Source organism: Homo sapiens, chromosome 12, assembly GCF_000001405.40.
Source record: "Homo sapiens chromosome 12, GRCh38.p14 Primary Assembly".
In the NCBI taxonomy this organism is placed as follows: domain Eukaryota; kingdom Metazoa; phylum Chordata; class Mammalia; order Primates; family Hominidae; genus Homo; species Homo sapiens.
This window is the reverse complement of record NC_000012.12, coordinates 71,527,057-71,541,476: the sequence shown is the minus strand read 5'-3', so window position 1 is coordinate 71,541,476 and position 14,420 is coordinate 71,527,057. Positions and strand designations below refer to the sequence as shown.

The 14,420-nt window shown below is 38.6% G+C and overlaps 1 protein-coding gene and 1 long non-coding RNA gene across 7 annotated transcripts in view; one reads left to right on the top strand and one right to left on the bottom strand.

Annotated features, from left to right (window-relative positions):
* The window catches only part of LOC105369833 (uncharacterized), a 47,788-nt gene extending 33,719 nt beyond the window's left edge, over window positions 1-14,069 (top strand). The window contains exons 3-4 of the long non-coding RNA XR_001749200.2: window positions 7,421-7,500; window positions 14,002-14,069. This is a non-coding gene — a long non-coding RNA (uncharacterized LOC105369833). The remainder of the gene's footprint in view (window positions 1-7,420; window positions 7,501-14,001) is intronic.
* LGR5 (leucine rich repeat containing G protein-coupled receptor 5) overlaps window positions 1-14,420 on the bottom strand; it is a 147,182-nt gene that overhangs the window by 44,834 nt on the left and 87,928 nt on the right. For all 6 annotated transcript variants that reach the window (NR_110596.2, XM_047429800.1, NM_003667.4 and 3 more), the window contains exon 4: window positions 6,291-6,362. Coding sequence is in view for 5 of the 6 variants with exons in the window: in XM_047429800.1 (XP_047285756.1) it covers window positions 6,291-6,362 (72 nt within the window). In the remaining variant the exon portion in view is untranslated. The remainder of the gene's footprint in view (window positions 1-6,290; window positions 6,363-14,420) is intronic.

Sequence of the window (14,420 nt, the reverse complement as noted above, 5' to 3'; positions counted from 1 at the left end):
GTAACCAAGAGTTCAATCTACTTTCCAAAGTTAACCTTCATTTTACACCACAAGCTTTAAAAAAATTTATTTTACTTCTCATTCCATAATACCCATATTCTCTTTATTTCTCTGATATGACTGCCATGCATGCAATTTATCACAGGACTGGCAGGTAACCTGATATAAGAATCTTTCATGCATGGCTATTGCATAAAGTATTCACTTTTCCCTCCTTATATGATTCTGTGGACAATGCTCCAATTTTAGCTCTCTCTTCTTGTAAACATTATGTAGAAGGAGCTTTTCCTGTTAAAATAATTCTCCCCAATGTTCAAATTGGAGAAGAGTCCGGGCAAAACTTTTCCTCCTCATAAGAATTCACTGGGTGCTGATCTGCATATGGTTCCGTGAAGTGAACGCTTCACTGTGCAATAGACAAATGCTTTGGCCTCTAGAACTTCTAAGTTCACCTCCATCCCAATACGTACCTAATACCCTGGCACTTTTGTGAAGAAAGCAAAACAAACTAAAGTCACGGTTCATTTTTATTGTATAGGCTTGTGATTTCTGTTTCTGGAGACTATTTTAGTGGAAGGAATATCACCAATACTAAAACCACTGTTTTTTTAACCCCTTTGATCCTTTAATCTTATTCTTTTGGCTACCTCATCTTCTTTCTTTTGGTCTGCTTACACTTCCTTGTCTTCTGTTACTTCCTTCCCATTCTATATCCCATGTCTGAAGCCCAATAGCCTCCTGGATATTAATGGGAGAAAACTGCTCCTGGTTCTAGGCTTGTCTTACCTCCTGCTCAGCACAGTGAGCCCCATGTCTTCCTCCTCACCCATTCCTCTCACTTATTTTCTCTCTCTTTTTTGACTACTGTAAGGAAAAGATTACCATGCAGAATCCGATGAAGTTATTGACATTTTATAGAGTCCAGGGGTGGGTTCTATAGCCCTGAAGATGATATCATAATAAGATGTATGGGCAGCTGGTGTGCCAGGCAGAAATTATACATTATTCTTGAGTTTTAAAATATAGTCATATTCTGAAGATGAATATTAGTTAATTGGAGAATAGAGACAATAATAAAGATATGTTTAATTCTTCTTTCATTTTCTATTTGCCAACCTATTACCTTTGCGATTATGCAAATTCCACAGTTAGCTTCACTTGTGCACACTTGGAATAAAAACCAACAGGCATTAAATAGTACTCTGGTTATCTGGACAAACATGAATATGCAACTCTCTTTGGTCATCTTGAACTTCACTAGTGACAGTGAGTTGCTTAAAATTCATTAATGACAATCACAAATGAAGCAATTTTTTAAATAGATTGATTTCTTAACTATTAATATAAAAGTGTGAGGGTATGGGAGGGTTAAGTTTTGAGTTTCCATCAAATCACTGTAATCTGATTCTAGTCCTCAAATGTCTATACTCCCAAAAGTTTTTTGGTAAAATACAGCTTACTGTGAATTCTGATTACATTTCCTATTCCCTTCCAAAAAACAGAAAGGAAATTAGGTTATATTTGATTACATTACAAAAAATCTAATTGGTGTCTGGGAAGTCATTGCCATGTCAGAAGCCAAATGTACATACTGTACAGGGGCAGGCTCTGGGCTTCTGGGCTCTGGCTTGTGGGCCTGCACTCTTATTCCTTAGCCCAGCAATTTGTTAGCATCAGAAGAGTTAAAAGAACACAAGTGGCCTGGGTACTGTGGCTCACTCCTGTAATCCCGGCACTTTGGGAGGCCAAGGCAGGCAGATTACTTGAGCTCAGGCATTCGAGACCAGCCTGACCAACATAGTGAAACCCTGTCTCTACAAAAATACAAAAAATTAGCCAGCCGTGGTGGCAGGTGCCTGTAATTCCAGCTACTTAGGAGGCTGAGGCAGAAAAATCGCTTGAACCTGGGAGGTGGAGGTTGCAGCGAGCTGAGATCGCACCACTGTACTCCAGCCTGGGCAACAGAGTGAGACTCCAACTCAAAAAACAAAACAAAACAAAAAAACCACAAGTGTACCTATGTGTTTCCATTATGAACAAAACATCTTTTGTATATGTGGAATAAGTGGAAAATTAACATTCCTTGAAACATGAGCACAATTTGTTTCTTCCTGACAGCAATGTTACCAATTTCAGTGTATCAAATTTCCTAAACTTTATTCAAGGAAGCCAAGTGTATATGGGTGGAGCAAAGAATGCAAATGATCTACGTCAGTCGTTTTCAACCATTTTTGATTTGTAGACCACTTTGTTAGTGTTATAGAACACTAACAATTTTAATTTCTCAAATGCATTTTGCCTACGAATCACCTAGGATTTTGTTAAAATGAAGATTTTTTTAAGTAAGACAGAGCTGAGACCAAGTGTTCTGCATTTCTTAGGCAGTGCTGATGCTGCTGGCCCACAGAACAAATCTGAATAGCAGGGTGATAGAGCATGTGGCCTCTTAACTTTATCTCCCTGGGTTATCAGTGGAATGCATAGGCATGCAAGCTGTTTTCAATTAAACACAAATAAGACAATGCCTGACTTTTATATTTTAAGTATATTATTAGCTCATAGAAGAGTGCAAAGTATGGATTTTGTTATTATTTCAGGTATTTCTTTTCCTTTTTTTCAGAGACACGGTCTTGCTCTATTGCCCGGGCTGGAGTGCAGTGGCAGGATCATAGCTCACTGCAGCCTCAAACTCCTGGGCTCAAATGATCCTCCCACCTCAGCCTCCAGCATAGGTGGGACTACAGTCATGCACATGACGCCCAGCCAATTTTATTTATTTACTTAATTATTTTTAGAGACAGCATCTCACTGCATTACTCAAGCTTGTAATTTCAGGTTTGAAAAGAGTTCTGGAGAATACTTTGCAGATCATCTGAGGGAATGCTCCAGGTCAGGTCAATAGTTTTCCTAATTTTCACTTAGGAAATACTTAACTGTGCAATTAAGCCAGTTAGAAAACACTAGTGCATGCATGAGTCCTATCCTCAGAGAGTGCAGTGGCATGATCAGGGCTCACTGTACCCTCGAATTCTTCTTGAGTTCAAGTGATCCTCCCACCTCAGCCTCATGTGTAGCTGGGATTATAGGCGCAGGCCACCATGCCCAGCTAACTTTTTAATTTTTTATAGAGAGACAGGGGTCTCACTATGTTGTCCAAGCTGGTCTCAAACTCCTGGGTTCAAGTGATCCTCCCACTTCAGCCTCCCAAAACGCTGAGATTACAGGCATGAGCCACCATACCTGGCCAGAGATTCTGATTTTAATTGTTCTAGGCTGCAGTCTAGGCTTTGGGTCTTTCCAGAAGAATCTTATTTGTAGCCAGTGTTGAGAAGGCCTGCTGTAGAAGTTATTCAGTTGGTACAAAAGTAAATGTGGTTTTTGCCATTACTCTTTATACAAGGCCAGGCATGTATAAAGACAATGAGCTCACAGCCCCTATCAAGGGTAGAGTGCTTCTTAAAGAGTGAATGTATAATCCAAGAAAAATAATAACGTGGAGAAAAATAAAGTGAATTCAAGAGAGTGAAAAGAAAAAAAAAGGGAAACCATGTAGAAAAAAAGGCTAAGTGAAGATCTAAGGGTTGACTCCAGTCCAAGAAGAGATGGCAATGGAGTGGAGACTTTCTAGGCATTGGCAGTGTGGATGAGGCAGAGTCCTACTCTCATCATTACTTTATTGATACGGAAGCACAGAGGCTAACGTATGGCCTGGAAAATGAATGGAGAATGGATAAGGAATGCATGTTTGTAATGATCAGTAAATTCAAACTAATGTTTTTATTTTTAGACGTGCTTAAAGGAAGAAGGAGAAGTACAATTAAATACTTTAAAACCAGGACAATAGAACTTTAAAGGGGCACAATATACCCTAAACCTCCAAACTGGCCTTGTGTATGTATGGGTAGGGCACTCCTTTTGTTGGTACAATATGGTATCTGCAGAGTTGGTGGTTCAGCCTATGTTTATCATGCTCTTTTCTTTTTTCTTTTCTTTTCTTTTCTTACTCTGGAGTGGTGCTCTGTAGCTCAGGCTGGAGTGCAGTGGCATGATATAGCTCACTGTAACCTGTAACCTCAAACTCCTGGGCCCAAGTGATCCTCCTGCTTCAGCCTCCCGACTAGCTGGGACTGCGGGCACATGTCACCACACCTAGCTAAGTTTTTTAATTTTTATTTTGTAGAGATGGCAGTGGGGGTGTCTCACTATGTTGCCCAAGCTGATCTCAAACTCCTGGCCTCCAAGTGATCCTCCCACTTTAACCTCCCAACATATCATGCTTTTTTTTTTTTTTTTGACAACTCTTAAGTCTTGCATCAAAGCTGCACAAAAAATATCAGTGAGAAAAAGTGGGACACTGGCACACATTGTCAACATTCAACACTCACACTGGTCTGTCTGTGCTCTGGACAAAGGGGCCCCTGACAAACATTGCATAACCCAGCTGATACAATCCAGTGTGAACTGGGGGCCGAGTATCTATCTAGATCCTTTAGTTTGGATGTGGTCAGTGTCAAACCAGAAAGTTAACCCTTGACCTTTTCACAGGGAACACATAGTTATAAAGTTTCAAAATGTTATTCTTTTTGCAAAACCAGAAACCAAATGTAGAGACACCTGGTGAACAGTGAATATCTAGACTGTAAGAAACTAAATCTGAACACCTTTATCAGGCAGGCACCACCAGTTCCAGTGAACAAAAGATTCATGGTTTTCTTTTTCTCAAAGAGTTCACTTCTGTTTGTGTTCTGTTTGTGATCTTCTTTCAGCTGATAGTGGCTTTTGGTTACAAACTCTTATCCTTCTATCTACTGCCTGCCTTGCAGCTGTTTAAAGTTCCTACTGGCTACCGCCATTATCACCATTTCAATTTTGCCACACAGATACCCCAACTTGAGGCTGTTTTGCTTCTCCAGCTGTTTCTTCTTTCCTTCAGGTAAAGGCTTGTGCAACAAAGGAGAAGTGATACTGTCATGACATTAAGGAGCTCCAGAAAATACAACAGACCTATCTCATACCACAAAGGGGCCCTTGTGGGCTTGTTTATCTATAGGCTGGTGAAAACCTAGGAAGTCACTTTGTTTGACTGGAGTAAAAGGCTTGAAATGATCTCAAGCACAGATTTTCTTTCATTAAAAAGAAAAAAAGATCAAAGGACGAAAGTATCATCTTCAAATCTCACAGTCCTCCTTCTATGTTACCTCGGTAAAACGCATTAAGCAAACTATATGTAATTATTAACCGAAGGATTCTTTACAACAATTTTCAGCTGGAGTCCACAATATTTATCAATATTTATTTGCCCTTTTAATGCATTTATCTTCCTCATCACGAACTACAACCCAGTATTTTGTTTGGCAGATGTGCATCTCCATTGTAAGTAAAATTACAGCATATATCACACGTGTGATATATTGGACATCATGCAGTATATTGTAAACACTTATACATTCTAATGGGAGGAAGATTTACTGACTAAATAGTAGTGGTATAGACTTGCCAAGTAATCACTACAATCAACTGCTTACAATACAAGTTCCAAAACATTTAGCTGGGAGAATGTTCTTTTGTGAGTAATTTTATTTATTCAGAAGTTTTAAATCAGTGTGTGTAGGGGGGTAGGAAACTCCTGATGGAAAAGTTGTGGATTCAGAGTAGGGAACACCAACACCTCTGTGAGTCCATGTGTCTGTGTGTGGTGTGTGAATCTAAGGTATGTTTGTATCTGTGGGATTGTTTATGGCCATGTCTGCACATCTGTGTTCTGTGATGGGGAAGCTTCAGGATATACCAGTAGATCTTAGGCTCCTGACTTGAGGATCCCTAATGTATTATATAGGCAGTACTAAAATAGTAAGCCTTTATTTGACTCGAAAAAACTTGATTACAAGGCAACTCAAATAATCCTAAAACAGAATAAATCAAAGATGTCAAAATGTCTAGATTACAGCATCTATTTTTTTTTTTTAGGTAAAAGGAAAGCACTATTTCTTATTCGAATTCAGAAGCAAGAATATTACAAGGGAATGTAGGACAGGATCTTGGAAGTAGTGCTTTGGACTGGAGATGTTGCAATTAAATGTCCACCCTAAAACCCCAAACTCCAACACTGGTTCCTCCCATACATATTGCTCAATGAGGCTATGAAGAGTTGTTACTCTAATGGGCTCTCATTCACAATACATTTAGGTATGACTCCCAACCAAGGAACATACTAAAATGGTCAACTGAACATTTCAATGCTTCTTCCCAAATTGATCTTAAATATATTTTGCAATGTCTACTATACTTACAGGGATTGAAGGCTTCGCAAATTCTGCAGAGCTTCTGTGGGTACGTGTCTTAGCTGATTATTCTGCAGCATACTGTATGTTAAAAGAAATAAAGAAAAATGTTAAAAAAAATGAACAATAACAGGCCTAAACAAGGCCAGGCACTGTTCCAGGTGTCAGAAAAACAACAGAGCATCAGACAAAGTCTTGTCTTTTGGGGAGCTGAAATTCCTGTGAAGAGTGAAGATAATTAAAGATGAACAAATGAATATATTAACATGAGACAAGTGATAAGTACTATGAATAAAAAACAAAACTATGAATTTGGGATAGATGGTATCAGGGGGTGAGATTTTTATTTTAAAGGTGGTCAGGGAAGGTCTCTCTGAAAGGTGATATTTAACTGGAGACCAGAAGGAATACAGGGAGAAAATCCTTGTGAATATTTGGGAAAAGTTACCAAGGAAAAGAGAAGAGTAAGTACAAGGGCTGGAGGCTGGAGGGAGCTTGCTTGACTTGTTAAAGGAGCAGCAAAGGACCAACTGTTTCTGAGGAATGAGTGAGGACTCGAGGTTGGGAGAGAGAGCCTGAGACCATCTCATGGAGGGCTTTGCCAGCCACCATAAGGCTTTATTTTATGTGTGATGAGAAACCACTGTTGAAGGGCATATGTAGGAAAATGACATGCTCTTATATATGTTTTTTAAAGGATCTGCTACTTGTATAAGTTACACCAAATGGAAATAAGGATAATGGTAGGAGGCTAAAATTGTCTCCCTTCTCTGCATGGCTTTATTTTGATATAAGCTAAATTCTTTTTGTGAAGTATTTGTGTTTTTGCACTTGCACTTGAAAATCTTGAACAGTTTTTCATAATATGGGGACTACAGAATGGAAACGCCTGGAAGCTATGAAATAAAAATATATCATTGCTAATGAGGAAATAGCATGGAAACAAATTCCCATGAGATTCCTTATATTTTGCTACCTTATTCATAAATGTTTATAACACAAGAATTCTGCAGCACATTTTTTTTCTCCCAGTATTTTGTAGTCCATGTAAGCCTGAGGCAGAAGACTATTTTAGGAAAGCAGAAGTTTTAAAGAAATATTTCTACTTATTAAGTTGCAAACTTGTATTTGTGTTTCAGAAACAATCTGCCTGGTTCTTTCATCTCTGCAAAGGAAGTTTCTTTCTGTTCACTACTTGACTAGCTGGAATTCCACCCAGGTGTGTCTAACTCCAAAGCTTGGTGTGTTTTCCAGTGCACCAGGCAGCATTCTCTTGAGGCATATGTGCTGACTGTGTAAATTCTCAGATTGCATGTGAACGGTATGGTTAAGAATATGGATTCTCAAATCTGACCACCTCTTCTCTGCCACTAGAGATTGGAAAATCACCAAATCTCTCTATGCCTCAGCGATCAGTAATAACACCTACCTTGCAGGGCTCATTGTGATGATTCAATGAGTGAAGGTTCATAGAACAATGCTTGCTACATGATAAGCATTCAGTAAAAATTGGCCCTTTTAATGTACATTAATAGGCCCTTTCTCGAAACTAATAATTTTTGTACTGGGTTTGACAATTTAATGAGCCAGAGAAAAAGAAAACTCTATGCCATTGGTTGTCAAACTTTAGGGTTCATCAGAAGCCATTGGAAGGTTTGTTAAAACAGAATGCTGGGCCCCATCCCAAAGTTTCTGGTTTAGTAGGTCTGAGGAAGGGCCAGGAAATTCACACTTGTAACAAGCTCTCAGGTGACGCCAATACTGCTGAGCAGGGCACCACACACTGAGAACTACCCCATGCTGTGCTAAATATTTATGTATTTAGTTATTTAATTATTTATTTATTTATTTTGAGACGGAGTCTCACTCTGTCACCAGGCTGGAGTGCAGTGGCGCAATCTCGGCCCACTGCAACCTCTGCCTCCTGGGTTCAAGCAATTCTTTTGCCTCAGCCTCCCGAGTAGCTGGGACTACAGGCATGCATCACCGTGCCCGGCTAATTTTTGTATTTTTAGTAGAGATGGGGTTTCACCATGTTGGCCAGGCTGGTCTCAAACTCCTGACCTCAAGTGATCCTCCCACCTCAACCTCCCAAAGTTCTGGGATTCTGTAATCCCAGGTGTGAGCCGCCACGCCCAGCCTATGTATTTATTTATTTAGAAACGAAGGGTAGGAGAATCTTGCTTTGTTGCCCAGGACTGGACTCGAACTCCTGAGCTCAAGGGATCCTCCCGCCTCAGCCTTTAGAGTAGCCTGGTCTACAGGTGTGAGTTACTACACCTAGCTATCTAAACATTTCTAATAGGATATTTTCACTTGGGGAAGTGAGAGTGGTTGCATGTACTTATAGTCCTACCTACTCTGGACAAAATGAGACCCTGTCTCAAAAAAAAAAAAAATCTTCATTTGAACTTGAGGAAGAGCTGCACTGGGTTTGCAGACAAGACCTAAGCTTTTAGTCTTGGAGAGGAAACTCATTTAACCTCCTGACCCTTGGTCTTTTATCTGTATAATGGGAATAATATCATCTGGTTGAAAAGGTGTTGGAGGATTAAAATATGAAAGTATTTATAGTACTTTTATGTATATAAATACGTGCTCATATACAAACAAGACTTGAAAAATATTTGGAGATCATAAAAATTATGCCTTTAACACCATGCCTGAGAGTTTTTTCTAAGGAACGTAATTACGTTTGTATTACAATAGTTCTACTCAACTAATTTCATTATGTTAAATTTAGATTCAATTAAAATTTCATAAATCAAGAGTCTCAAATGTATTGGTTCCTTAGGAATAAAGGTGAGTTTTAGGAAGATCCCCACACTTCACTTACCAGTTAGGGAATTAGGAGAATTGAAACTTGAATTCTATGTTTTGCATAATTTATCTGAATATTAAAAGTTTGGATTTCTGTGTTATTTTATTGTTATTTTACATTTTTGTTATTTTACATTTTCCCAAGCAGTTTCAATCCATCATCCAATTTTAAGTTCACAAAAATGTTTTCTAAGTATTTCTTTACTTTTGTGTTACATTTAAATAAGATAAAGATAATAGAATTAATTGATGTCTAAACTTTTTATTAATAAATAATATATTACTGGTACAAGGTATGTATTGCATTGTCCTTTGCCTTACTAACCAAACAGTGGAACTCTTAAAATATGATTTCCCTAAAATATCTGAAAAATTGAGGTGGAAGATGAGAGTTTCAGATAGCTTTTTGTCATTGAATAGTTGCGAACTTTCTCTGCTGCTTTATATATCTTTCTTCAGATAATGGAACTTAAATGAACTTTAGTGATGATAACTTTTTTTTGGAGGGGGGACAGGGTCTCACTCTGTCGCCCACACGGGAGTGCAGTGGTGCGATCTCGGCTCACTGCAACCTCCGCCTCCCGGGTTCAAGCGATTCTCCTGCCTCAGTCTCCTGAGTAGCTGGGATTAGAGGCGTGCGCCACTACCGCCGGCTAATTTTTATATTTTTAGCAGCAACGGGGTTTCACCATGTTGGCCAGGCTTGTCTTGAACTCCTGACCTCAAATGATCTACCCACCTTGGCCTTCCAAAGTGCTGGGATTACAGGCATGAGCCACCGCACCTGACCGATGATAACTTTTAAAGCTACCCCCACGTTACCTCCTAATGATTTAAATTTTCAACTACGTCTACCAGTAAAACACCAAGAATATAACTTAAAAAACAAAAAAACAATTTAAGCCCTGATCACTCCCTAAATAAGGAACTTTTGTTTAATTACTTTCAAATGACAAAACAAGAGCAAGTTATCTTTATTATATCATTATAAGTCTCCAGTGGGTTAATTAGAACATTCTGTTTTTGTTTAAGATATTCCAATGGGAGGGAAAACAATTACAAGGTTTATAGTGCTAGGGGGTGCAATTGAAACAAAACATTTACACATGGCTGCTGATTTCTTTTGAAAATACTCCTTACTGAGTACATGCAATATAAAGATACTGAATATAGGTGTAGGCACTTAAAACTTCATTTTTATCATTCACATATGATTAGGAAAAGCAAATGGAATACTTTCTCTAGAGACAAAAGATGACTTCTATATTTTCTTAATTTCTTTGCCCCAGGAGCTTTAAAATAATCACTATTTCATACAGCATCCCCATGCTACTCTACACAATTTTTTGGTCCCTCCCCCACTTTTTTTTTTTTTTTTTCCCAACAGGACTAAGTAAGAACAGGTACAGTGAAGGAGAGGGAGATTAAATAACCTGCTGAGTGGGAACTTGGTTACAACTGATGGCTCAATTCTTAGGTATTCCCTTGGCCTATTTGTCCTCTGTGTAGATATCAAGTAACCATCAAGGCTCTATTCTGGGTCTACATGAGAACAGGGGAATTCTGCCTAATTGTGACTTTTCTATGGTTAGTTTTACCCATCACCTCCATGTGGCTTTGGTTTTGGTGTTGAGTGGCAGAAGGATGAGCCATTCTTTGATGGAATGGCTTACACTAGAAAATGAACCTTTGTTGAGGACAGCCTGGTTCAGAATTCCACGGACTGGGTATTTTGCCATACAGAACCAATTACTTATTTTTTTTATTAGGGCCAATATTTACAGGAAAAATAACTTTAAATATTAGTGATGTTTTAGCATTCACAGTAAATGTAAAACAGACCTAGCCAAGGATGGCTGCTGCTGTCTTCATTCTCCATCTTAATAGACTGGATCAAGATTATTTTTCTCTTCTTTGTCCATATGCCCTCTTTACCATCCTTACTCAGGTCAGGGCCCCAGACAAATATTACTCTCACATTATCTTTCTCACCATATCACAATACCATTAGTTATTTCTTTTCTCCAACCACTTTTGGACTTTATAAAACAGTTAAGAGAGTTTTCATGAGAGTAGGGGACAGGACTATCTTGTTCAGCATTTTACCTCTAGCACTGTGGTTCTCAACTATATTGGATTCAACGTTCCCTTTAATAACAAATATTTTGTAATGCCACTTCTATTATACTTAAGTAAAATTCATAGAATTATAGCCTATTTACACACATTATTTCAAAGAAAAAATCAATATACTTTATTGTTGTGCCCTAAATGTATTATAAAGAAGAAATATAAGAAAAGTAATTTATAGTAAGATGATGTAAGTGTCATTATATACATGATGCTCATATGCAACTACCTCAGGAAACATTTTTATGAATGAATCAGATGTTTGCTTCTACTTTTTTTTTTTTTTTTTGGAGACAGAATCTCACTCTATTGCACAGGCTGGAGTGCAGTAGCACTACCTTGGCTCACTGCAGCCTCTGCCTCCCAGGTTCAAGAGATTCTTGTGCCTCAGCCTCCCAAGTAGCTGGGATTACAGGGGTGCACCATGACACCTAGCTAATTTTTGTATTTTTAGTAGAGATGAGGTTTCAGCATGTTGGCCAGGTTGGTCTTAAACTCCTGACCTCAGGTGATCTGTCTGTCTCAGCCTTCCAAAGTGCTGGGATTAGAGGTGTGAGCCACCACACCCAGCCATTTGCCTCTACTTTTAAAGAATAAGGTTGGGTGTGAGAAAAATAACGTGATCAAAAGCCATTCTGTATGAGAATGGGAACATGAGAGTAGAGATCTAGATGGATACTAGAATAAAAACTAGTTGAGACACTGATATGGTTTGGCTTTGTGTCCCCACCCAAATTTCATGTCAAATTGTAATCCTCACAGGTCGGGGGAGGGACCTGGTGGGAGGTGATTGAATCATGGGGGCGCTTTCTGCCATGCTGTTCTCATGATAGTGAGTGAGTTCTCACGAGATCTGATGGTTTAAGAGTGTGTGGCAGATCCCCCCTCGCTCTCTCTCTCCTGATGCCATGTAGGACATACCTTGCTGCTTCTGCCATGATTGTAAGTTTCCCGAGGCCTCCCCAGCCATGCAGAACTGTGAGCCAATTAAAGCTCTTTTCTTTATAAATTACCCAGTCTCAGGTAGTTCTTTACAGCAGTGTGAAAATGGACTAATACGATATGTAATAACAGATCATACTTGTTATATATTATAAGGGAAAGAAGGAAATAACCTTTATTAAAATAAATATAACATGCCAATCAAATTACAAACGTCATAGTGGAGAAAATCAGGAAGTGTGACACTCACAATTGAGCATGAATATTCTCCCAAGTGAGTGTTCCTTACAGATGAATAGTGTCAAAATAATTCTCTATGTGTTAGGGTAAGATAGTGTGGAAATATCACAGAGAATATTTATCCTGTCTCAAAATTCCATAACATTCTGAAGCAAGCATTAATTCCCCAGTACTTTAAAAGGCCCTGGAGATCCCTCCATAGGCAACAGAGAATTGAGGCTGAATTGGACAAAGAAATAGTCACAAAACTGCCTTCTCAGAAGTTGGGTGGTAGACTTTGCTAGGCAGTAAAACAGTAAGATTAAAAAAGCAACAAGCTGGCCACCCTCAGATAAATAAATCATTATATAATTATCACAACATAAATTTCATATGATTGTGCTCTAAAAACTTTAAAAGGCAATAATACAAAATATTTATAAAGCAAACTTTGTTGATGAAATTCAATGAGATCCTGTGTTTCTTGTTACTCTGGTAATTTAATGATAGTTATTTTAAAAAGGTTGCACATTTCCATGGCTATATATTTTTAATTTGGTTTGTGGCTTTTGAGGTAATTCTTCTACTGCACTAACACTATTTTATTTTATTTATATATTTTTTGAGACAGGTCTTGCTCTGTTGCCCAGGCTACAGTATAGTGGTGCAATCTTGGCTCACTGTAGCCCCAACCTCCTAGGCTCATGAAATCCTCCCTCCCACCTCAGCCTCCTGAGTAGCTGGGACCACAGGTGTTCGCCACCATGCCAGGCTAATTTTTGTATTTTTTGTAGAGATGGGGTTTTGCCATGCTGCCCAGGCTGGTCTTGAACTCCTGAGCTCAAGTAATTCAGTCACCTCTGCCTCCCAAAGTGCTAGGATTATACAGGCATGAGCCACCGTGCCCAGCTACGAACACGATTTTAAACTAAATGTGTGGCTAGAAATCTTAAAATATCAGGAATAGACAGGATGTATAAACTAAGTTACTTATTTAATTATCTTGAGAGAAACTGTTTATTCCATTTAATTTTTCCTGTGCAAATTATTAAGCATATGCAGAACATCTTATAAAACGTTTCAATACAATTACACATTAAAGTACTGATTTATAGTTGGTATGGAGGGACAGTAAGAAGCCAGAATAAGGGAGAATTCTTTATGCTGGGCTGTGCAGCACATTGCAGGACAGCTTGCTACACGCCAATCATCTGGACAACCAAAGATGCTCCCACAAATTTCCAAAACACTCTGTAACAGGCAGAACCAACATTGCTGAGAAAAATTATTCTAATGCTGTTATGGTTTGAATGTTTTTGTCCTCTCCAAAAATTCATGTTGAAACTTAATCCCCAATGCAATAGTGTTGGGAGGTGGGGACCTTTGGGAGGTGTTGGGTAGAGCCTTTGGGAGATGTTTTAATTAAATTAGCAGAAAAATAAGAAATGGTGATCTCAATGAATTTCCTCAAAAGTTTGCTTTATAAATATTTTGTATTATCGCCTTAAAAATGTTTGGAGTACAATCATATGAAATAGATTAATTCCATCATAAAAAGCCTTGTTGGAAGAAGTTTATTCCTTTTTTGCCTTTCCACCTTCTGCCATAGGAAGACACAGCATTCCTATCCTCCAGAGGATTTGGCTCTCAAGATGCCATCTTGGAAGCAGAAAGCAGCCCTCACCAGATGTCAGCACCTTGATCTTGGACTTCCCAGCCTCCAGAACTGTGAGAAATAAACTTCTCTTCTTTATAAATTACCCAGTTTGCGGTATTCCGTTATCATAGCACAAACAACCTAAGACAAAAACCAAAATACTTTAAAAATATTTGACAATTTGAGTCCATTCATTGAATATTAGTCTTTAGGTCAGCAAAGTAAAAAGAAGAGTGAACACAATTTCTGGCAGGATCTTGTTCCTCTTGAACTCTCCTCACACTGACAGGGACCCAGCTATAGTGCAAAGTCTGAACATGGCCTTCCCTCACTTATGTACATCTTTTCCTTGACTCCTCATCATGCCTCCT